At 48.7% G+C, this 23,397-nt stretch overlaps 1 protein-coding gene across 1 annotated transcript in view, besides 4 other annotated features; it reads right to left on the reverse strand.

Annotated features, from left to right (window-relative positions):
* Positions 2,084-23,397, reverse strand: part of AHNAK (AHNAK nucleoprotein) — a 113,263-nt gene continuing 91,949 nt past the window's right edge. The window contains exon 6 of the mRNA NM_024060.4: positions 2,084-2,431. Coding sequence (NP_076965.2) covers positions 2,424-2,431 — 8 coding nt within the window. The 3' untranslated portion in view covers positions 2,084-2,423. The remainder of the gene's footprint in view (positions 2,432-23,397) is intronic.
* Positions 2,613-3,114: an enhancer, noted in NCBI's record as "H3K4me1 hESC enhancer chr11:62201545-62202046 (GRCh37/hg19 assembly coordinates)". NCBI's record gives its function as "activates a minimal SCP1, AML or CMV promoter by ChIP-STARR-seq in naive H9 embryonic stem cells {active_cell/tissue: H9 hESC(naive)}" and the evidence as "EXISTENCE:reporter gene assay evidence [ECO:0000049][PMID:30033119]".
* Positions 3,115-3,614: an enhancer, noted in NCBI's record as "H3K4me1 hESC enhancer chr11:62202047-62202546 (GRCh37/hg19 assembly coordinates)". NCBI's record gives its function as "activates a minimal SCP1, AML or CMV promoter by ChIP-STARR-seq in primed H9 embryonic stem cells {active_cell/tissue: H9 hESC(primed)}" and the evidence as "EXISTENCE:reporter gene assay evidence [ECO:0000049][PMID:30033119]".
* Positions 13,257-13,316: an enhancer, noted in NCBI's record as "active region_4817". NCBI's record gives its function as "activates an Ori minimal core promoter by ATAC-STARR-seq in GM12878 lymphoblastoid cells {active_cell/tissue: GM12878}" and the evidence as "EXISTENCE:reporter gene assay evidence [ECO:0000049][PMID:35858748]".
* Positions 13,857-14,151: a silencer, noted in NCBI's record as "tiled region #7741; HepG2 Repressive non-DNase unmatched - State 20:ReprD, and K562 Repressive non-DNase unmatched - State 23:Low". NCBI's record gives its function as "represses a minimal TATA promoter and a strong SV40 promoter by Sharpr-MPRA in HepG2 and K562 cells {active_cell/tissue: HepG2 | K562}" and the evidence as "EXISTENCE:reporter gene assay evidence [ECO:0000049][PMID:27701403]".

The raw sequence follows: 23,397 nt of genomic DNA on the forward strand, positions 1-23,397 counted from the left end.
GCTAAGTCTGGCCCCCTTCAGATTCTTTCACGACTTAGTCTGTGGGCTCTTTCTCCCTGTTCTCCCTACCCAGCACTTTGTGCCCTGAGGTTCAGGGGCTCTTTCTGCTGCTGAGCTTCCACGCCCCTAATCTGGGGCATGTATTTACAGTGGGATAAATCATGTATTTATCTTACTATAGCATGTTTGCTTCTAACTGTTGCCTTCTCTAGAATGTGAGTCCTATGAAGGCATGATTCACATTTTAGTTATCTTGCCACTCATTGTAGAAAAATTAGAAAACCCAAGAAAGCAAAAGGAAAATAAATCATTCGAATGTACATCTGCGTCAAGTACTTGATCAGAGCAGCAGGATTCTACTTTTGACCCTCTAGTGGAAAAATTGAAACCAAGGTGGAAGCCAAGACAGTAAATTAAGTATATTACAGGACTCGAGACCTTTTTTTTTTTTTTTTTGAGACGGAGTCTCACTTTGTTGCCATGCTGGAGTGCAGAGGTGCCATCCTGGCTCACTGCAATCTCCACCTCCCGGTTCAAGTGATTCTCCTGCCTCAGCCTCCCAAGTAGCAGGGACTACAGGCGCATGCATGCCACCATGCCCAGCTAATTTTTGTATTTTTAGTAGAGACAGGGTTTCACCATATTGGCCAGGATGGTCTCGATCTCTTGACCTCATGATCTGCCCGCCTTGGCCTCCCGACCTTTTTATTCCATCTCTCTGCTTCCAGGAGGACCATATCAATAACCAAGTGGCCCCTGAGACATGACCCTAAACCCCCAAAAAGACCTCCCATTACTCTGTGGCTGACCCATTTGAGGAATTCATATGTTCTGTGGGCAGGAAGTTCTAACCAAAATGCAAAAAAAGTTTGAAGTTCATCGTATTCCGTTGTTCCCTGCTTTTCTGTTTCTAGGTAAAGATGAGATTAGTTGGCCAGGCACGGTGGCTCACCCCTGTAATCCCAGCACTTTGGGAGACTGAGGCAGGTGGATCACCTGAGGTCAGGAGTTTGAGACCCACCTGACCAACATGGAGAAACCCCATCTCCACTAAAAATACAAAAATTAGCTGGGCGTGGTGGCGGGTGTCTGTAATCCCAGCTACTTGGGAGGCTGAGGCAGAAGAATCGCTTGAACCCAGGAGGCAGATGTTGCAGGGAGCCGAGATCACGCCATTGCACTCCAGCCTGGGCAACAAGAGCAAAACTCTGTCTCAAAAAAAAAAGAAAAAAAAAAGATGAGACTCGTTTATGAAACTGGATTCCTCTTAAACCACAAATCCATCTGAATGGTATTCATTTCATGCTTGATAAATTTCAAGACCTGATTATTTTGCAATATCAATGTTGATAAAAGTTAAATATTAACCAGATAATCGAAAGTTATCCTTTAACGTCTGCTACCATAGAATAAGAATTTCAGACTGACCCCCAGTGACAGGAAACTTTGAAAAGGCGTGTGCCTGAAGAAACGTATCGATTGGCATGTTAAAAAATACATGTATTGGCCGGGCATGGTGGCTCATCCCTGTAATCCCTGCACTTTGGGAGGCCGAGGCAGGTGGATCACTTGAGGTCAGGAGTTTGAGACCAGCCTGGCCAATGTGGTGAAATCCCGTCTGTACTAAAAAAAAAAAAAAAAAAAAAAAATACAAAAATTAGCCAGGCGTGGTGGCAGGCCTGTAATCCCAGCTACTGAGGCCGAGGCACGAGAATCACTTGAACTCAGGAGGTGGAGGTTATAGTGAACTGAGATCATACTACTGCACTCTCCAGACTGGGTGACAGAGTGAGACACTGTCTCAAAAAAAAAAAGATTACATTTCTCCTTTTTTAGATAAATAAAGAGGAAAGAGAAAGGGGAGGGGGAGCAAGGGGTGTAAGAGGGAGAAAGAAAAGAGAGAAAGGAGAGAACGCGCGGGGGTTCTCGGTCATGTGGAGGCAGCAGTCATGTGCTGACTCTGAAAACTGAAAAAAAAAAAAAAATAGTGACAGCAAGCTGCTGCCTGTGGCCAACTCTCCCAGGGATTCTCACAACGCCAGGGAAGGGAACAGAGAAAACCACAAAGGTTGACACAAGAACAGATGCTTGATAAATGTTTATTGGATAAACGAGCGAAGGATAATCACCTGAGCACCATAGTTGCCAAAGCCCCCTCTAGTCCCAAACCTAAGCCCACACTCTGTCCCCTTGCAAGTAAAGAAATGCACCAAGCAGGGCTTATGCAGCAGCCCTCGGTCTGGCCTGGCTGGAGCTATAAACATGCATGCTCCGAAAAGCCGCCTCGCGGAAGGTATTCCTTTAACTGCAGGTGTTTGTTGCCCTTGGCACAGCAATATGTAATTTCCCATTTTTAGAACAATGCTCCAAAGAACGGTCACAAAAACAACCTTAAGAGGGGGTGGTTTTCTTCCTGGCCGCTTCTACAGTCCTGTAAAACAACAACAAAGAGATTTATATTCAACACACTATTTGCATCTCTCCATAAAATCAGAAGATGGTTCGTTAACTTTGCACCAACTGAAAGAAGGTCCCCCCACTCCTTGCTAGGGCATCCAAACAAATGCTTGCCTCTGGAAGGGATAGATTTGGAAAGGATCCTGCTGTTGGGTCTCTTTTGGTCTTGCCACGCCTCCCTCTGTGTGGTTTCTGTGCGGCAAGGGTGGAAAGGAAGCTTGCATAAAGCCCGAGTCTGTCCTTTTGGTGCCCCCCATACAAGCCCGAGACCAGAAGAGGACAGTGTGTTCCCAAGAACATTCAAATAACAGAGGAAGGTAGGAACCGTGAAAACAGCTGCCACCTCCAGCCTCAGCCATTAAGAAATCCCTTTCATTATCATCTCCAAACTGACTTTCTCTCTTCCCTTTCCTCTTCATGAACCCTTTCTGCTTCATGAACCCAAGCAACTGGCTTTGAGACTTCATGGCCCTTCACCTTCCCTCCCTGTCGTCTCCCAGAGCCTAACTACTACATCTTCTGTCCCAGCCCAGTGCCTCCTCCCCGAGTCACACCCAACTCATCCCCATCGGACTCCCATGAATGCGCAGGTTGTCCTCTCATGGGCCTCCTGGCCTGGTCTCTCTCACCTCCCACGTGGGCCTGCATGCCCCAGGCTTCATCTTACACCTCCTGCGCTCAAGAAAGTTCAGCAACTCCTTTTCCAACAGAAACAAATCCAGCTTTCGGGCCAGGCGCAGTGGCTCACGCCTGTAATCCCAGCACTTTGGGAGGCCGAGGCAGGCGGACCTCCTAAGGTCAGGAGTTCAAGACCAGGCTGACCAACATGGTGAAACCCTGCCTCTACTAAAAAGAAATACAAAAATTAGCCGGGTGTGGTGGCACACACTGTAATCCCAGCTACTCAGGAAACTAAGGCAGAAGAATCACTTGAATCCGGGAGGCAGAGGTTGCACAGTGATCCAAGATCCTGTCACTGCACTTCAGCCTGGACAACATGGCAAGACCCTGTCTCAAAAAAAAAAAAAAAAAAAAAAGCCAGCTTTCTTAATGGGACCTCATCTGGAACCAGGCCTCCTTTCCTACTTTATCTTCTACTAGTCCCTACACAAGTTTCAAGCACCAACCAAAATCACCTGCTCACCCTTCCCAAACTTTACCTTGGCTCCTAAAAACTACCTCCTGCCCTCCCCCTAATTGAGAATGACCTTCCTGGTCTTCTCTCTGTGACTAAATCCTACCCATTTTTGAAGACTCAGCCAAATAATACCACCATCTGACCACTCTAGTTCAAAATGCCCCCCTTTCCTTGCTGAAGTCCTGCAATTCTGCCCCATTTATTCACTATATGTTACACTTTGTGAAGAAACCATTCACATAACTTCTTTCTTCCAAATGTGTGTTGAATTATTTAGAGGGCAAAGGTGCTAAGCCTCTTTAAGAGGCTTGGAAGGAATTAGGCACCAGGAAAGTGAAAGCTTTATTTATTTATTTATCTTTTTTTTTTCTTTTTGAGACGGAGTCTCGCTGTTGCCCAGGCTGGAATGCAGTGGCGCGATCTTGGCTCACTGCAGGCTCCGCCCCCCGGGGTTCCCGCCATTCTCCTGCCTCAGCCTCCCGAGTAGCTGGGGACTACAGGCGCCCGTCACCTCGCCCGGCTAATTTTTTTGTATTTTTAGTACAGACGGGGTTTCACCGTGTTAGACAGGATGGTCTCGATCTCCTGACCTCGTGATCCGCCCACCTCGGCCTCCCAAAGTGCTGGGATTACAGGCTTGAGCCACCGCACCCGGCCTATTTATTTATCTTTTTAAGAGATGGGGTCTTACTATATTGCTCAGGCTGGCCTTGAACTCCTGGACTCAAGCAATCCTCCTGCCTTGACCTCCCAAAGTGCTGGGATTGCAGGCTGGCCGCACCCAGCCAGTTTTGACATTTCTACACTACCTTTTATTGCACACTTGCTATGAACCTGTCGCTGAGCTGAGCACTTCTTACATATGACCGCATTTAACTCTCACAGTGAGACTAGAAGGGAAGTACCACTGTCACTTTTCACAGACCAGGAAACAAAGGCTTTGAGAAGTTAAATAACTACCCAAGAGCCTCACTGTTTAAAAGGAGCAGAGCTGGAGTTCAAGCCTGGCTCACAGTATTGACAGCTCTAGCCCATCCCCTTTCATTCTCAGCGAATTCACAACACAGAACAGTTAGGATGAACAGGGTGGGGAGGAAGTTGCAGGCTCTTTTCCTGATTGGAACAAATTCATGGAAAGGGTTCATAAAGGGGCTGGGCTTCCCAATTCATGTTTTTGTTTTGAAGAAGGTGGGGGAACTTGGGGTTCACACAATGAAGTTCTCTTTAAAGAATGGTGTCTGCAACATCTGATGCTCCGGGGGAGTAGCAGGCAACACAGAGAGCTTTGATGCTGTACCAAGATTCACTCTCAACATCCCAAGCCAAGTGGCAACAGTGCAGAATATGGCATTCAAGTCTAACTCCCACACTTACCAGCTGTGATACTCAGACAAGCTATTGTCCCTCTCTAAGCTTCAGTTTCCTCCTCTCTAACAAGAAAAGAATATCATTTTGACAGGTGGTTTGGATAGATTAAGGCAAATAATCTCTATAAAGCAACCAGGCACATATTGGGTGCTCCATAAATTATTATTGTTATTACTTCTCTTGGACATGAAAATCTGCATTTCTTTTCATTAAAAAAAAAAAAAAAGTATAGGCCGGGCGCAGTGGCTCACGCCTGTAATCCCAGCACTTTGGGAGGCCAAGGTGGGTGGATCACGAGGTCAGGAGATCGAGACCATCCTGGCTAACACGGTGAAACCCAGTCTCTACCAAAAATACAAAAAAAAATTAGCCGGGCATGGTGGCGGGCGCCTGTAGTCCCAGCTACTCGGGAAACTGAGGCAGGAGAATGGCGTGAACCCAGGAGGCGGAGCTTGCAGTGAGCCAAGATCGCGCCACTGCACTCCAGCCTGGGTGACTGAGCAAGACTCTGTCTCAAAAAAAAAAAAAGAAGTATAACATACATTCATCAGAGTACATAAAGCACACAATGGACAGCTTGATAATCATTTTCATAAATAGGCATTTCTATAACCACCACTCCAGGCCACATAAGGAATATTTCCAGCACCCCAAAACGTTCCCTCATGCACCCTCCCAATCCATATCCCCACCAGACAGAATCATGATTTGACTCATTATAGATCAGCTTTGCCTCTTTCTGAACCATATATTAATGGAATCAGAGCATATAATCTTTTCATCATTGCATAGTACTCTTATATGAATAGATCACCAATTTATTTCTCCAATCTTCTGTTGATGGGAATTTGGGGTGTTTCAGGTTTGGAGAAACTTCTTTGAACATTTTTGTACATACATTATTGTCAGCATAGGCACTCAAACCCCTCAGCTTTGTTTTGTTTTGTTTTGAGACGGAGTCTCACTCTGTCTGCCAGGCTGGAGTGCAATGGTGCAATCTCAGCCACTGCAACATCTGCCTCCTGGGTTCAAGTGATTCTCCTGCCTCAGCCTCCTGAGTACCTAGGATTACAGGCACTCATCTGCCACACTCAGCTAATTTTTTTTGTATTTTTAGTAGAGACGGGGTTTCACCATATTGGCAAGGCTGGTCTCGAACTCCTGACCTCAGGTTATCCACCCACCTTGGCCTCCCAAAGTGCTGGGATTACAGGTGTGAACCACCACGCCCAGCCCAAATCCCTTACCCAAATACTTAGGAGTAGAATTTCTGGGTTGTACAGCAGGCATATCTATAGCTTTAATATAATCTGCCAAACAATGTTCCCAGTGGCTGTACCTCTTCCACACTCCCCACAGCAATATGCAATAGTTCTAGTTGTTCCATATTCTCAGCAACACTTGGTATTGTCAGTCTTTTCATTTTAGCTATTATGGTGGGTGTGTAGTAGTATCTTTTTGTGGGAGTTTTGTGTGTCTATGTTGTTCTTTTTTTTTCTTTTGCATTCTGTCACCAAGGCCAGAGTGCAGTGGCATGATCATAGCTCACTGCAGCCTCAAACTCCTAGGCTCAAATGATCCTCCCACCTCAGTCTCCCAAATAACTGGGACTACAGGCTTGTGCCACCAGGCTCAGCTAATTTCCCAGCGCATTTGCATTTTCTGATGAATAATGATGTTGAGCACCTTTTCACAGTGTATTTGGCCATCTGGGTATCCTCTTTTGTTAGTGCCTGGTCAAGTCTTTTTCTTTCTCTCTTTTTTTTTTTTTTTTTCCTGAGACTGAGTTTTGTTCTGTCTCCCAGGCTGGAGTGCAGTGGTGTGATCTCGGCTCACTGCAACTCTGCCTCCCGGGTTCAAGCAATTCTCCTGCCTCGGACTCCCGAGTAGCTGGGATTACAGGTGCCTGCCACCACGTCCAGCTAATTTTTGTATTTTTAGTAGAGACAGGGTTTCACCGTGTTTATCAGGCTGGTCTCGAACTCCTGACAGGTGATCCACCTGCCTCGGCCTCCCACAGTGCTGAGATTACAGGCATGAGCCATCGCACCTGGCCTCTTTTTCTCATTTTTTTAATTGGGTCATTTTTAGTTTTCTTATTGATCTGCAGTACTTCAAATATTTTAGAAACGAATACTTTATCAGACATATGTATTGCAGATATATATCTTCTCCAGGTCTGAGGCTTGCCTTTTCATTTTTTTAATGGTGCCCTTGGATGAAGAGAGGATTTAATTTTGATAAAGTCCAATTCATCGATTTTTCTTCTGTGGTTAGTGCTGTTTGCATTCTGTTTTAGAAATGTTTGCCCATCCCTAAGGCCAGGAAGACCTTCTCTGTTCTCTGCTCCTTTTAGTCTTGCTTTATGTGGTATCTTCCTCTGGCGTGGAGACAACTGATTTGTTGTTATTTCAATGAGGAGCAAAGGTCTCATAGAAAAACTAATCATGACCGGCTCACATGAGAATGCTCATATGATAATGACTTCCTGGGCCTTTGGACTATGCAGCCTGCCATCCTAAGGTTGCTGTGTAGCATCAACAGGTACCACTGCTGACCTGGCTGCATTGCTGAAATCCCACAGGAGCGGCCCTTAACAGAGGTGGCATCTTCCAAAGTGAACCAGGAAGGAGAGGGATGGACACCCATCCCTCTCAGTTTCCCTATTTTTTTTTTTTTTTTTTTTTTGAGATGGAGTCTCGCTCTGTCACCCAGGCTGGAGTGCAATGGCGTGATCTCCGCTCACTGCAAGCTCTGACCACCCGGGTTCATGCCATTCTCCTGCCTCAGCCTCCCGAGTAGCTGGGATTACAAGCGCCCGCCACCACGCCTAGCTAATTTTTTTTGTATTTTTAGTAGACACGGGGTTTCGCTGTTTTAGTCAGGATGGTCTCGAACTCCTGACCTTGTGATCCGCCCACCTCGGCCTCCCAAAGTGCTGGGATTACAGGCGTGAGCCACCGCGCCTGGGCAGTTTCCCTATTTTTCTCATCTGTAAAGTGAATGCTGGTTAGTACTCTAGGGCTAGCACCTTAAACTCGACCCAGCCCAGCTATGGCCACTTTGCAAACACATCCTTCCTATCCTGGCAACTTTGTCCAATCTCCTTCATAAACCCTTTTCCTATGCATTTTGTTTATCCCTAAATGTTCCTTTTCATTATCATTTGTCTAACCATTTATTATTTGTAGTGCATGTGTGCATCTGTCTTTCTTTTTGGTTTGTTTTGGATTTTTGTGTGATTTTTTTTTTTTTTTTTTTTGAGATGGAGTCTCACACTAGCATCCAGGCTGGAGTGTAGTGGCGCGATCTCAGCTCACTGCAACCTCCGCCTCCCGGGTTCAAGTGATTTTCCTGCCTCAGCCTCCCGAGTAGGTGGGACTATAGGCACCCACCACCACACCTGACTAATTCTTGTATTTTTAGTGGAGATGAGGTTTTGCCATGTTAGCCAGGCTGGTCTCGATCTCCTGACCTCCAGTGATCCGCCCGCCTCCGCCTCCCACAGTGCTAGGATTGTAGGCGTGAGCCACTGTGCCCGGCCGCATTTGTCTTTTAAGTCTCTCCTCTCTTCTGTCTTTCCTTCCCTAAAACAGGGTTTCTCCACCTTGGCACTATTCACATTTTGGACTGGACAGTTCCTTGCCACGGGGCCATCCTGCGTGTGGCCTGATGCACAGCTATTGCGATTTCTCTCCTTCTTCCCACCTCTCCACTCACTGCCAATCAAGGGCCCTGAGGGAAAAGTGAGGGGGTGGCCGGGAGGTAGAATCGTGGCTTTCTCAAGCTCACAGGGGCCTTAGATATGATCTAGTGCAACCCCCTCATTTTACGATGAGGAAACGACACTGAGAGGGGGAGGGAGAGGATGTGTCAGAGCCGAAAATGTTAGGGAACAAGTGCCAGGCCAAACAGGAAGTCAAAATTCCAGGGCTTGAGGCAGAGTTTCCAATCCCACCAAGGAACCTGGGATTGCTTCCCACAGCTCCTTCCTCCCTCCCAGCCACGAGCCCCATTCCAGAAACAACCCGTGGCTGGCCAGAGGGAACGGCAGACACAGATCCCACAAGCCCCCAGGAGTGCACGCCAGTGTCCATCCCTGGGAGCCCGTTTCTGAGCCTCTAGTGGACAGAGATGGCCACCGATTGCAGTGGGGATATTTCATGATGACGCCTGTCATGATCACTTCTTAGTTTAACCCTATAATCAGGGGGGAAATGATGCTTATGCTGCCTGGCCACACCTGACCAAATGGAGAAGTCAGGGAACAACAGAGATCTGCAGAGAGCCAGAGGGAGCCTGGCAGCGTCCATCCCAGCCCCGTCTCCACAAAGGCAGATCCCCAGGACAGTTGAGGGCCCTCAGCCAAAATCTCCCAAGTTATAGTGGGGGTTCACATCTGCTAAGTGCTTACTATGTGCCAGACACTATTTCTAAACACTTTATAAATACTATAGGGTGGCTGGGCACAGTGGCTCATGCCTGTAATCCCAGCACTTTGTGAGGCGAAGACAGGTGGATCTCTTGAGCTCAGGAGTTCAAGACTAGCCTGGACAACATAGAGATACCCGTCTGTATAATTTTTTTTTTTTTTGAGACAAGAGTTTCACTCTGTTGCCCAGGCTGGAGTGCAGTGGCATCATCTCAGCTCACTGCAACCTCCGCCTCCTGAGTTCAAGCAATTCTCCTGCCTCAGTCTCCTGAGTAGCTGGGATTACAAGTGTGTGCCACCACGCCCGGCTAAATTTTTGTATTTTTAGTAGAGATGAGGGTTCATCATGTTGGCCAGGCTAGTCTCGAACTCCTGACCTCAAGTGATCTGCCCACCTTGGCCTCCCAAAGTGCTGGGATTACAGGTGTGAGCCACCACGTCCGGCCTCTACAGAAAATTTTTAAAATTAGCCTGGCATGGTACCGTGTACACCTGTGATCCCAGCTACTCAGGAGGCTGAGGCAGGAGGATCACTTGAGCCCAGGAAGTAGAGGCTGCAGTGACCTGTGATGGAGCCACTGCCCTCCAACCTACGTGACAGAGTCAGAACCTGTCTCAAAAATAAATATTTTATTTTATATTTTATATTATTTTATTTTTGTTTGAGATGGTGTCTCACTCTGCCACCCAGGCTGGAGTGCAGTGGCACGATCTTGGCTCACTGCAACCTAAACCTCCTGGGTTCAAGCAATTCTCCTGCCTTAGCCTCCCGAGTAGCTGGGATTACAAGAGCATGCCATCACGCCCAGCTAACTTTTGTATTTTCAGTAGAGATGGGGTTTCACCATGTTGGCCAGGCTGGTTTCAAATTCCCGACCTCAAGTAATCCACCCACCTCGGCCTCCCAAAATGCTGGGATTACAGGCATGTGCCACCGAGCCTAGCCTCAAAAATAAATAAATACATAAATAAATAAATCCTCCAGGAGCTCAGTTCACCCTCACCGAGCCCTCTGAAGCAGCCACTGTCGTCCTCCCCTGTTAGAGATGCTAATATGGGGCCAGCAAGCCCTTGGTCAGGCAGCAGGGCTGTCACCCCCAGCATCTTTGGTGGGGTCACAAGTCGGCGCAAATCACCCTACTCCTTGACAACATCAAGCTCCCCTGCAACATCTCCATCAGACACACATGGAGCTGCCATCATACAGAAAGATTTATACACTGAGACCTTATACAAAGCAATGGGTGGTGTTCAAGATTATATCAAAGGGACAGAATGAGTAGTTTTAACAGTTCCGTCTGTACTTATTTCAATGTCTGTCAGCAAAATGCTGGGTTTCATTTACAGTAGTGACATAAATGTTTCTTTTTAATTAAATGATTAAGGTTTTCAAAATAAATCTCTTTAGGGCCGGGCACAGCAGCTCACACCTGTAATCCCAGCGCTTTGTGGGAGGCTGAAGCGGGCAGATTGCTTGAGCCCAGGAGTTCAAGACCATCTTGGGCAGCATGGCAAAATCCTATCTCTATGAAAAATACAAAAATTAGCCAGGCATGGTGGTATGTGCCTGTAGTCCCAGCTACTTAGGAGACTGAGACAGGAGGATCACCTGAGGCCGGGAAGTCAAGGCTGTGGTGAGCCGTGATTGTGCCACTGCACTCCAGCCTGGGTGACAGAGTGAGATCCTATCTCAAAAATAAATAATCAATAAATCTATTTAGAGAAAAATATTTGCCCAGGTGCAGTGGCTCACGCGTGTAATCCCAGCACTTTGAGAGGCCAAGGCAGGCGGATCACCTGAGGTCAGGAGTTCCAGACCAGCCTGGCCAACATGGCGAAACCCATCTGTACTAAGAATACAAAATTAACCGGGTGTGGTGGCGCACACCTGTAGTCCCAGCTACTTGGGAGGCTGAGACAGGAGAATTGCTTGACCCAGGAGGCAGAGGTTGCAGTAAGCCGAGATTGTGCCACTGCACTCCAGCCTGGGCAAGACAGAGCAAGACTCCATCTCAAAAAAAAAAGGAAAATATTAAACAAATTGTAGTGAGAATGGCATGTGGATGAGGATGCACCTGGGTGACCTAAGCCTGGGAGACCTGGCTCGAGTCTTGCACATCTTTCTTTTTTTTTTGAGACAGAGTCTCGCTCTGTCACCCAGGCTGGAGTGCGGTGGCGTGATCTTGGCTCACTGCAACCTCCGCCTCCCAGATTGCAGCGATTCTCCTGCCTCAGCCTCCCAAGTAGCTGGGACTACAGGCACATGCCACCACTTCACTCCCGGCTAATTTTTGTATTTTTTAGTAGTGATGGGGTTTCACCATATTGGCCAGGCTTGTCTCGAACTCCTGGCTTCATGATCCACCTGCCTCGGCCTCCCAAAGTGCTGGGATTACAGGTGTGAGCCACTGCACCCGGCCTTTTTTTTTTTTTTGAGACAGAGTTTCGCTGTTATTGCCCAGGCTGGAGTGCAATGGTGCGATCTCAGCTCACCGCAACCTCCGCCTCCAGGGTTCAAGCGATTCTCCTGCCTCAGCCTCCTGAGTAGCTAGGATTACAGGCATGCACCACCACGCCTGGCTTATTTTGTATTTTTAGTAGAGATGGGGTTTCTCCATGTTGGTCAGGCTGGTCTCGAACTCCCAACCTCAGGTGATCTGCCTGCCTCGGCCTCCCCAAGTTCTAGGATTACAGGCTTGAGCCACCGCGCCCGGCTGGGTCTTGCTCATCTTGAAGACAGCTAACCCTGCCAGGGCCTCTTGGGGCTGTGCAGCCCCTCACTCACCCTCTCACCTGCCACTGCCATAGCATCTTCCTCGATACAGCCCCATAGACTTGAAAGTCATCATCAAATGCCCCTCAGCCTCTCTCAGCCCTTTATGCATGTGGGTTTCTCATGTTAGGTTCATTCTGCTTCTGGTGATGAAAGAGGAACCTAGAAAGGCTGATAAATTACTGAAATCTACAAATAGAAGGCCAAGTATGAAGACAGCAAGGAATGAGGAAACCCCACCCCATTCCTTGGACTCAGCCCTGGGCCTCCTGCCCCTGGCCAGCCTTATGAGGCACCAGCAGTAGAAATGTCACCCCAGGGTCCTCTGCTGAGAGTCCTCTCAGTCATGGTCTGTGAACGGGAGCTGCGAGGGCAGCACTTGAGGCCAACACCGTCCCCCTCCAATGCACGATGGACACTCCGGGGAGTGTGGTGGCACAGAGCGGCCTCTTGGCTCCAGATGTGGATCCTACAGAGAGTTCTGAGGTTCAGTGCCCCCTCCACCCACCCGGCCTCGTAACAACCCTGGCGATAACACAAAAGGCGTTCTTCTTTGGCAGATAGGGAAATTTTAAAGATAATACTCATAAGTGAGCCTGGGGGGACTTGTTCTATGGGCTGGGACTCAAACCAGCCACCAAAACCCACTGTCGGAGGAGCTTCTCAGAGGCCAGAATCAAACACCACCGGCCCTGTGAGTGCCCGGCCTCTGCCACAGCTGGGTGGGTGCCCAGCCAAGGAAGCTTGTGCCCCATCATTCAGGGCATTGTTCTCCCTTAGAAGAGGATCTCGAAAGCAGAAGGAAATTAGAAACAACCGCACAATGAATACCAGATTCTGCTTTCTCTCAGCTCTGTCTGCCAGGAGATTAGGCAGGGTTGGCTGACAGCGTGCCCCGCCCGGCAGCTGCTCGCCCTCCAGGATGTCCGCGCCGTGGGGAAGCGGGGGTCCCGCTGGCCTTCTAGCTCTCTATTTATCTCCAAAGTGTCCGGTTTTCTTTCTCCTGCTAGATGCGGATTCCTTGAGGGCAGAGTCACATCTGACGCCCCTTTCCCATGGGGCACAGCACGCATGCGCGATGGGCACTCCGGGTGCGTCAGCTGATTACCTGATTTCATCTGGGCAGATGTGATGGCACAAGGGCAGTGACCCTGTGCCAGACACTTTCCTAAACAGGCATAAGCTCACTGAATCCCGGAGCCTTCCCATGAGGGAGAAACAATCTTTAATCTCATTTTAGAGATGATGAAGTGAAGTCCAGGCAGCCCAGCCAAGGGGCAGGACCGATCTGATGGAAGCAGCTTTGCTGGGACCAAACGACTCTGTTCCTCGCCCATTACCAACACTACCTCCTCCAACAACACAGGAGACGTGCATGGAGCCCTCCTTCGGTCACAGTCCTACCCCACGTGCTGGATAAATAAAGAGGGTGACCTAAAAGCAAATATGACTCCTTCTGAACTCTCACCCTGCCAGACAGCGATGATAGGGATATTATGCTCATGACACCTGGCCACACGTGACCCAGTGGAGAAGTCAGGGAGCAACAGAGATCTGCATTAAGGAGCTACCGAGAAGGAGACATACAGAGCTATTGTCAATCAAACCAACCAAGCTTCTGAACATTCCCGCTAAGAACTTCTTTAGAATGCACTATTTTTTTTTCTGTTGGGGCTATTATTCATTTTAACCTAATGTTATGTTTTAAGCCTCCTACGTAAGTACACACCAGCTTTAAATGTTGTGGAATACTGAGCTCATATATCTAGTCAAACTTCTGTTTGCTTTTTGCTGCATCCATAGCTACGATTTGAATAAATAAAGGAGAAAGGTTTGGCTCCCAATCCTACTCCCTGGGCCCCATGCCATCATTCCCCAAAACAAAGGAGGAAAGATGCCAGAAGTGAGAGAACAGGGGTAATGGTGAAGAAAAACAACATCCTGGCCAGGCACAGTGGCTCAGGCCTGTAATCCCAGCACTTTGGGAGGCTGAATGGGGAGGATCACTTGAGCACGGAAGGTCAAGGCTATAGTGACCCACGATTGTACCTCTGCACTCCAGCCTGGGCAACAGAGCAAGACCCTGTCTCAAAACACCAAAAAACAGTCCGGGCGCAGTGGTTCATGCCTATAATTCCAGCACTTTGGGAGGCTGAGGCAGCCAAATCACCTGAGGTTAGGAGTTCCCGACCAACCTGGCCAACATAGTGAAATCCTGTCTCTACTAAAAATACAAAGTTAGCTGGGCGTGGTAGCGGGTGCCTGTAGTCCCAACTACTCAGGAGGCTGAGGCAGGAGAATCACTTGAACCCAGGAGGCGGAGGTTGCAAGATCACACCACTGCACTCCAGCCTGGGCAACAGAGCAAGACACTGTCTCAAAACAAACAAACAAGCAAACCAAAACAAAAATATCATCCTATTCTGGGTGGTACAGAGCAGGGGCAGGCTCCCCAGGGAGGGATGCAGGAGGGGCAGGAAGGCATTTCATTAATTTCCTACAAGGAGTCAGCACATTTTATAACTATGGGCAGGGAAGGGAGAAGAAGAGCTGCCAACCCACCCCTCTGCAGATGAGGTCACAGGCTCGGAGGGCGCCAAAGAAGCCTAGCCTGTAAGTGCTTGACCAGGACCTGAACCTGGAACCTGAAACTCAAGTCCTCTCTTCCCAGCTCAGGGCTCTCCCCCTCCACCTGGCTCCCCACCTGACTCTGCAGGATCTGGTGGCTCTGTGCTGTTTGTTAAGTGACCTGCTCCCTCTGGATTGCATCCCATAATAGCCACACCCATGACTATATACTGGGTGGTTCCGTTCGTCCAAACAAGAAAACCCAAGGAGTGAGCTTTGTCCCGGGACTTCCCAGGGCACAACCACGCAGATGTGGACTGGGGTTTTCTAAAGAGTCTATTATATCAGATGATTAAAACAAAGATGCAGGAGAGGTGAAGGTCATGGATTCAATCTCTAAATGAGCCCACTGTCACACAAAGGAAAATGAGGGGGATCTGTCCTGGCCGGGCATCTTCATGTTTTGTCATCCACCTTCCTGCCCTCCTGTCTCAAAAGGCACCAGAATCTTCTCAGAAAAGCCTTCCTGCTTGATCCAGTGACAACCACCACCTCCTGGGCACTCGATGCCACCTCCATGCCTCCTTCAGGACGTGGGGATCCATTATCCCATCTTGCTTCAAAATCTTTACCCTCTCTCTCACCAGCTCCTTTTGCTCAGCCTATAAACATCAAGTCTCCCCCAAACTGAAAAGATCTCCCTATGTCTGCCTCCTGCACCCAGTGATGGTGCCACCTCTCCTCTTACCTTCAACACTAGGCTTCCTGGTAGTCCCCCTTAATCTCCTAAACTTCTCCCAGTAATTCCTAAGCACCCCCTCCCCTGCCAAAATGTGCAATCAAGCCCAGCCGTTCTATGGAAACAGCCCTCTCAAGGGCCACACATAGTCCACTAAGTGTCACATCTAGGGGCTACTTCTCAGCACCCATCCCACTCGACCTCCCTGCATCAATTAACCCAGCAGAAAAACTCTTCCTTATGAAATGTGCTAATGGCAAGCGCTATTCCCTCCTTACTCAAAAGGCATTTCCCTCCCCTTGGCTGGAAGAATCCTGTTTGTTCAAGGACAGGAAAGAGATTTTTTGATTTCACCAAGACAGGCACAGCCCCTGGTCCAAAGCAAGCATGTGTCCTTCTGCCCAGTGGGATCTAGGGGGAGATTAGCAGGAATCTTCTGGGGACGATCCCTCCATCATCACCACCCCACATCCCACCAATAAAAGAGGCATGAGGAGAACGTCTGTTCCACGCTGTTGCTATCTCCTGCCTTTGAACGCATCATGTGAGGATGTAATGCCCAAGGCTAGGAGAAAGGCAAGAGGGCCTCGGTGACACTGACACAGAGCTTTGCTGCTGAACACCCAGACTGTGAGAAAAATCAACCCTTTCATCTAATCACCTGGACAACTTTGCTGTTACCCACAGTGAAAAGCCTCCCAAGCTGACATAGCCCTCCTCCCTCGGTTACTGCCTCCTCCCTCTGTCCCTCCTTATCAAGTCCGCTTGACAGCCCCTCTGCCCACCTCTTGAATCTCAGTGTTCTCCTGGCCCTCTGCCCCCGTGGACCTCTGAAGTTCATGCCCTCATCATCTACCTGTTTGTCAACTCAGTGAATACCTGTCAGCACCTTCTATGTTCCAATAGGTATGGTAGAGTTGACACTCTAGTGGGGGAGAGAAACAATAAATAAGATGAACAACTAAAAAATTCCAAGTTGTGATCAGTGTATGCTCTGAATGAAATGACTGGCTAAAGAGGATGCTGAGAGGGCCTGTGGAGCCCTCTCAGGTCGTGGGCAGTGACCTGAGAGGGGACATTTAGCTTGAAGTTTGAAGAATGGGAAGGAGCCAGCCACGCAAAGGCAAGGACGAGCATTCCCAACAGTGGCGACGATGGTGAACCCTGGATGAAGACCTGAGGAAGGAAAGACATGGCGTGTGGGGACCAAAAGGAAGCCAGTGAGGCTAGAGGGACAAGAGTGATGAGGAGAGGGGACATCAGGTGAAGCTGGGATCTGGCGTAGAACCTTGTAAGCCACAGGAAGATGGTGGTTGTTATGCTGAGTGTGGCTGGAAGTCATCGGATATGAGGATTCACAATCAAATGTGTGTTACTAAAAGATCCCTGTGGCTGAAATGTGGAGCTGGATGGAAGAGGAAAGATCATGGACCATGCGGACTCACAGCCGTCCAGGTGAGATGGTGGTGACTCGCCACACTACCTGCAGTGGTGGCGGTAGAGATGGAGAGAGGTGGCCACCTTTGTGATGTCTTTCCAATGTGGAAATTATAGGACTTGCTGACAAGGGGATGTGAGGGCTGAGGAAGAGGGAGGCATTGAGGATAACACTCAAGTTTTCTAGTTTGAAGGCAGGCGGGCTGATACTATTTGTTGAGATGGAGAAGCAGGTTCAGGGGTGGGGGAGGCAAATCATTTTGGAGCTCCACTTTGAGTTCCATTTGGGAAATGCTGAGCTTGAAATGCTTGAGAGACATCCAAGTGAAGAAGAAAGGGGCAGCTCAGTGTTCAAGGCTGGAGCCCAAGGAGTTGGGAATTGTCAACCTACAGATGGTATTTAAAGTTCTGGGAAGGCCGGGCACAGTGGCTCACGCCTATAATCCCAGCACTTTGGGAGGCCGAGGTGGGCGGATCACAAGGTCAGGAGATAGAGACCATCCTGGCTAACACAGTGAAACCCCATTTCTATTAAAAATACAAAAATTAGCCAGGCGTGGTGGTGGGCACATGTAGTCTCAGCTACTCGGGAGGCTGAGGCAGGAGAATGGTGTGAACCCCGGAGGCAGAGGCTGAAGTGAGCCGAGACTGCGCCACTGCACTCCAGCCTGGGTGACAGAGCGAGACTCTGTCTCAAAGATAATAATAATAATAATAAAGTTCTGGGAATGGGTAAGGCTCACCACGCAGAGCCATCAGGTCATTTGAGCTACAAGTAGCGTTTATTTTTCACTTCTTGCTCTCTCTTCTCATGGTGTGAGTTTGCCACAGGCTATCAAGTCTAAATCCAGTGTATTTCTGACAGCTATGCTCTCTCCTTCCGTTCCCTGGCTGGGGCCCTTCCAGCCTTCACCTTGCCTCCCCTGGAGACTTTTCATAACTACCTGGCCTTGGTCTCTCCAGCTCACCTGCACCCTGCCACCTGTGGGGTCTGCCCCCTGCTCAGCTGTAGAAAAGCTGAAACCAGAGAGGGAGGCAGGAGGCAACCTCAGAGAGCCAGCTGTGGGGCAACACCAGGCGGGATCAGGGTCACCCAGGCCTGAGCTGGAGAGGGGCCAGCGACCAAGAGAGAACCAGGTGCCCAGCTTATAACCACAGCAACCGGGGAGAGCAGGGGCAGAGGCTGGTAGTGCACCCTATTCTTCACCCTAGTCTGATGAAATGGCTTTATTAGTCCAGCTCACTGGCACCAACCCAGGCAGTTTCAAAGCTAAAGCTACCACCCAACACCTGGCATGCCAGGGGACGCTCGTGAAAACAAATACTGGCAAAAATAACAATGACTAACGTTTATTGAACTCTTCCAATGTGGTGGTTCGTCCCGGCTCCACTATGTGACTGGGCTTGGTGAACTCTCCTAGCCTCATCTGTAATGTGGGATTCAATGAGTTGACTCACGATAAAGTATCTTAGCTGATGCCTAGCACAAAGAAAATGCTCAATACTGAAAGGTATAATTGCTGTGAATATGATTATGATTAAAACAAAAGTCAACTCGTGTCTTTTTCCTGCGTGAAAATCTCCAGTGGAGGCAGAGCGCAGTGGTTCACATCTGTAATCCCAGTGCTTTGGGAGGCTGAGGTAGGTGGATCGCTTGGGCCCAGGAGTTCAAGACCAGCCTGGGCAGCATAGCGAGACCCTGTTTTTTATTTTATTTTGTTTTCTTTTGTTTTATTTTATTTTATTTTATTATTTTATTTTATTTTATTTATTTTATTTATTTACTTTATTTATTTTATTGAGACAGAGTTTCACTCTTGTCATCCAGGCTGCAGTGCAATGGTGTGATCTCACGGCACACGGCAACCTCTGCCTCCTGGGTTCAAGCAATTCTCCTGCCTCAGCCTCCCAAGTAGCTGAGATTACAGGCACCCACCACCACGCCCGGCTATTTTTTTTGTATTTGTTGTTGTTGTTGTTGTTTATTTATTTGTATTTTTAGTAGAGATAGGGTTTCACCATGTTGGCCAGGCTGGTCTCAAGCTCCTGACCTCAGATGATCCAACTGCCTTGGCCCCCCAAAGTACTGGGATTAAAGGTGTGAGCCACCACCCTTGGCCTCTATTTTAAAATAAATAATAGAGAATTTAAAATTTAAAAATCTCCAGCAGCTCCCTGCCCCCAGACATAAGACTTCACCATCAGCCAGCCCATGCAAACTACAGCTCCAGCTGTGCCGTGTCCCTCACCATTTCCTGCAAGTGCCATGCACCGTCAGACCTCCAAGCCTCTGCTCCCACCGTCTCCCTTGCCTGCAATACCCTCCTTGAGCTTCTCCACCAGAGAGAGGAAGTCATCAGCAGAGCAGTCAACAGCCAATAGCCCTAGGCCCATTGGACTTTCAGACTGGGACGCCTCTCTCGCCTTTGCGTTCTGGGCATCTAGCACAGCACCAGACAATAGGTGCTGATGGCAGAAATATTAAAAGGTTGTTACATTTTTAACGAGCAGAGAAGGTGGGTGGCAAGCTCAGTTCAAGATTCCAGGAAGAGGCTGGACGTGGTGGCTCACGCCTGTAATCGCGGCACTTTGGGAGGCCAAGGCGGGAGGAGAAGAGATGAGACGGAGACCCATCTTTGGTACATGGAGATGATGTCACTGACCCAAAGCTAGGCAGGGGGCAGGCTCAGATGTTGGTTCTTCCTGGAATCTTTTTTTTTTTTTTTGATACCGAGTCTCAGTCTGTCACTCAGGCTAGAGTGCAGTGGTACAATCTCAGCTCACTGCAACTTCCGCCTCCTGGCTTCAAAGCAATCCTTGTAACAAGACTTCAGTTTAAAGAAAACCAACAACATAATGTGTTTAGGAACCCAAGACCAGAGCAAAATGTCGGGTCAGAGAAAGGCCCTCCTCCAGCCCCGCTTCCCATCCAGGACCCTCCTCATTCTCAGACACTCGCCCTATGTCCACTCTAGGCCCTTCCCAGCTGACAGCCTGGCAGGATGGCTGCCAGTAATTGTTTGAAATGGTTGCTTAATAGGATTATCTCAAAGATAAAAAATCTTCCATCTAAAAAAAAAATTGGCCAGGCGCGATGGCTCATGTCTGTAATCCCAGCATTTTGGGAGGCCAAGGCGGGCAGATAACTTGAGGTCAGGAGTTCAAGACCAGCCTGGACAACATGATAAAACCCCGTCTCTACTAGAAATACAAAAATCATCCAGGCATAGTGGCGTGAGCCTGTAATCCCAGCTACTCAGGAGGCTGAGGCAGGAGAATTGCTTGAACCAGAAGGTGGAGGTTGCACTTAGCTGAGATTGCACCATTGCACTCCAGCCTGGGTGACAGAGCGAGACTCCGTCTCAAAAAAAAAAAAAAAAAAATTAATCTCATAGGATAGATGGCACTTCAGAGCTCGTAACAACTAGCAAACTAATTTTTTTTTTTTTTTTTTGGACAGAGTCTTGCTCTGTCACCCAAGCTGGAGTTCAGTGGCAGGATCTCGCCTCACTGCAAGCTCCGCCTCCCAGGTTCACGCCATTCTCCTGCCTCAGCCTCCCGAGTATCTGGGATTACAGGCACCCGCCACCAAGCCTGGCTAATTTTTGTATTTTTTTTTTTAGTAGAAACTGGGTTTCACCGTGTTAGCCAGGATGGTCTCGATCTCCTGACCTCGTGATCCACCTGCCTCGGCCTCCCAAAGTGCTGGGATTACAGGCGTGAGCCACCGCACCCAGCCTGCAAACTAATCTTAAGAAGCCTGCCTGGCAGGGCACAAATCCCACCCCAAAGAGAGTAATGACAATAACAGATACATTTGTTAAGTACTTCCTTTATGTCAGGCAGTTTACATTTGTAATCTCATGTTATCCTTATAGAAATACTGTGATGTACATGGCTTACTATCTCCATTTGCAGCAAGAGGGAAACTGAGGCTAAGGAAGTGCACCCAGTCAGTGAGAAAGCCAGAACTGGATGCAGGCCGTCCCGCTCTGGAACTCGTGCTACTCAGCCTATTCCATTGCATTGTCTGCAGAGAGGGTCTATGCTGTGATTCCACAGGTCAAGGGCTGAGAGGTCTGTTGGATTCCTGTGGTTTCTTACGAGCTGCTATTATTGGTTGTGTGGACGGATGGGTGATTGGAGGCAGAATAGGAAGGAGTTGTCAGAGCAGTCACCCAGGGACGGCCTCATTCAAGCCTTCATGTTCATGCCATATTTTTATCTTGGCCTTTATCTAAGTCTTCTCATGCTTAGGGATGACCCAGATTGATGACAGCAGGCATCTTCAGCAACCTCTGCACCCTGAGTCTGAGCTCTTCCTGGGCTCACACAATGGGACAGGTGAGATGGTAAAAGGTGTTTCAGGCCGGGCGCGGTGGCTTACCGCACCTGTAATCCCAACACTTTGGGAGGCCAAGGCGGGCAGATCACTTGAGGTCAGGAGTTGGAGACCAGCCTGGCCAACACGGTGAAACCTTCTCTTTACTAAAAATTAAAAAATTAGCCAGTCGTGGTGGCACGCACCTGTAGTCCCAGCCACTTAAGAAGCTAAGGCACAAGAATCGCTTGAACCCAGGAGGTGGAAGTTGCAGTAAACCAAGATCAAGCCACTGCACTCCAGTGGGCAACAGAGCGAGACTCTGTTTCAACAAAAAAGGTGTTTCAGCAAATTTTGCAAGAATAATATGACCACCCTACACCCATCTGCTGCCCAAAACAAAGTCGTATGTCCCAGGAGCATCCCACCTCCAAACCCCACCCCCATCTATATACTTCATTAACGGAGGAATGGACACCATCACCTCCATGGCACGTCGGAAGGAATGTGTCTGCTTTATCCCACAATGCAGACTGATCTTTCATCATCAATGCCTTAAAGCTAATCATTACTGCTCTTGCCTAACTCGTCATCAGCTTCCCTGATGACGACTTCAGCTCAAGGGTAATCTCTTCCACCTCATCCTGGTTCAAGGAGAAACCATGACATTCAGCCCCATTTGGATTGTGGAAGTCAAATGAGTGGTAACAATAATAAGAATAATAATTTAGCTATAATTTATTGGGTACTTACTGTGTGTCAGGAACATGACAACTCAGAGATAAGGAAACTGAGGCTTAGAAACACCCCAGGAGACCCAGCTAGTCAACAGCAGAACCAGGATTCGAACCCAGGACCTGAACTTGGCACTGCACCACTGCCTTGCAAGAAGGCTCCAGTCTGGTGTCTGTAAGAGCTGCAAGAGCATTCAAGGCTGTCTCAGTCCACCAAAAGGGGTGGGTGACTTGAGGAGCCTCTGGAAGTCAAAGGTAGAGTTTGAATTCTAGGTCTGAATTTAGCGGGCTATGTTCTAGGAACACATCTCAACAAGAGGATTGTGTCAACACATGCTGCCGTGTGCACAGTCAGAAATTCTAAATTACTTCCCAAAGCTGCCCAAGAATTTGAAAAGAATCCTTCCCATCTGGCCGGGCGCGGTGGCTCACGCCTGTAATTCCAGCACTTTGGGAGGTCGAGGCAGGCGGATCACAAGGAACAGCCTGACCAACATGGTGAAACCCCGTCTCTACTAAAAATACAAAAATTAGCCAGGCATGGTGGCATGTGCCTGTAATCCCAGCTACTCTGGAGGCTGAGGCAGGAGAATCTGTTGAACCCGGGAGGCGGAGGTTGCAGTGAGCCGAGATGGCGCCACTGCACTGCAGCCTGGGCAACAGAGCGAATCTCTGTCTCAAAAAAAAAAAAAAGAAAGAAAATTGGCTGGGTACGGTGGCTCATGCCTATAATCCCAGCACTTTGGGAGGCGGAGGCGGGCGGATCACGAGGTCAGGAGATCTAGACCATCCTGGCTAACATGGTGAAACCCGGTCTCTACTGAAAATACAAAAAATTAGCCGGGCGTGGTGGCGGGCGCCTGTAGTCCCAGCTACCCGGGAGGCCGAGGCAGGAGAATGGCGTGAACCCGGGAGGCGGAGCTTGCAGTGAGCCGAGATCCTGCCACTGAACTCCAGCTTGGGCGACAGAGCGAGACTCCATCTCAAAAAAAAAAAAAAAAGAAAAGAAAAGAAAAGAACTAAGAATCCCTCCCATCTTCAAGAAGTTATGAAAAACCAATCTAAATAACAACACAAAATGTGAATAAGAAGGTGAAGGAACTGAAATGTTTCATAATGAGAGCTGGAACTTCTGACCCTCATTCCAGCAATATTTTCGCAGGATGCCACCCTGGGGACCCGCTCCTTTAGCCAAAATTATGGGGTAAGGAGATGTCAAGCCCAGAAACCCCCAGCCTTTCAGGGTTCACAGGGATAGATCTGCCAGGGCGATGGGGAGAAGAGTGGGAGGGGGAGGAGAAGAGGAAGAAGAGGGAGAAAGGAGTGAGAGGCATTTAATGAGTGATCTCCCCACACTCGTCATGGGATATGCAGGGAACTGAAATGCCTGCCCCCATGTCTGCTCCAGCCCCTCCTCAAACGGCTCCAAG

Source organism: Homo sapiens, chromosome 11, assembly GCF_000001405.40.
Source record: "Homo sapiens chromosome 11, GRCh38.p14 Primary Assembly".
Lineage (NCBI taxonomy): Eukaryota > Metazoa > Chordata > Mammalia > Primates > Hominidae > Homo > Homo sapiens.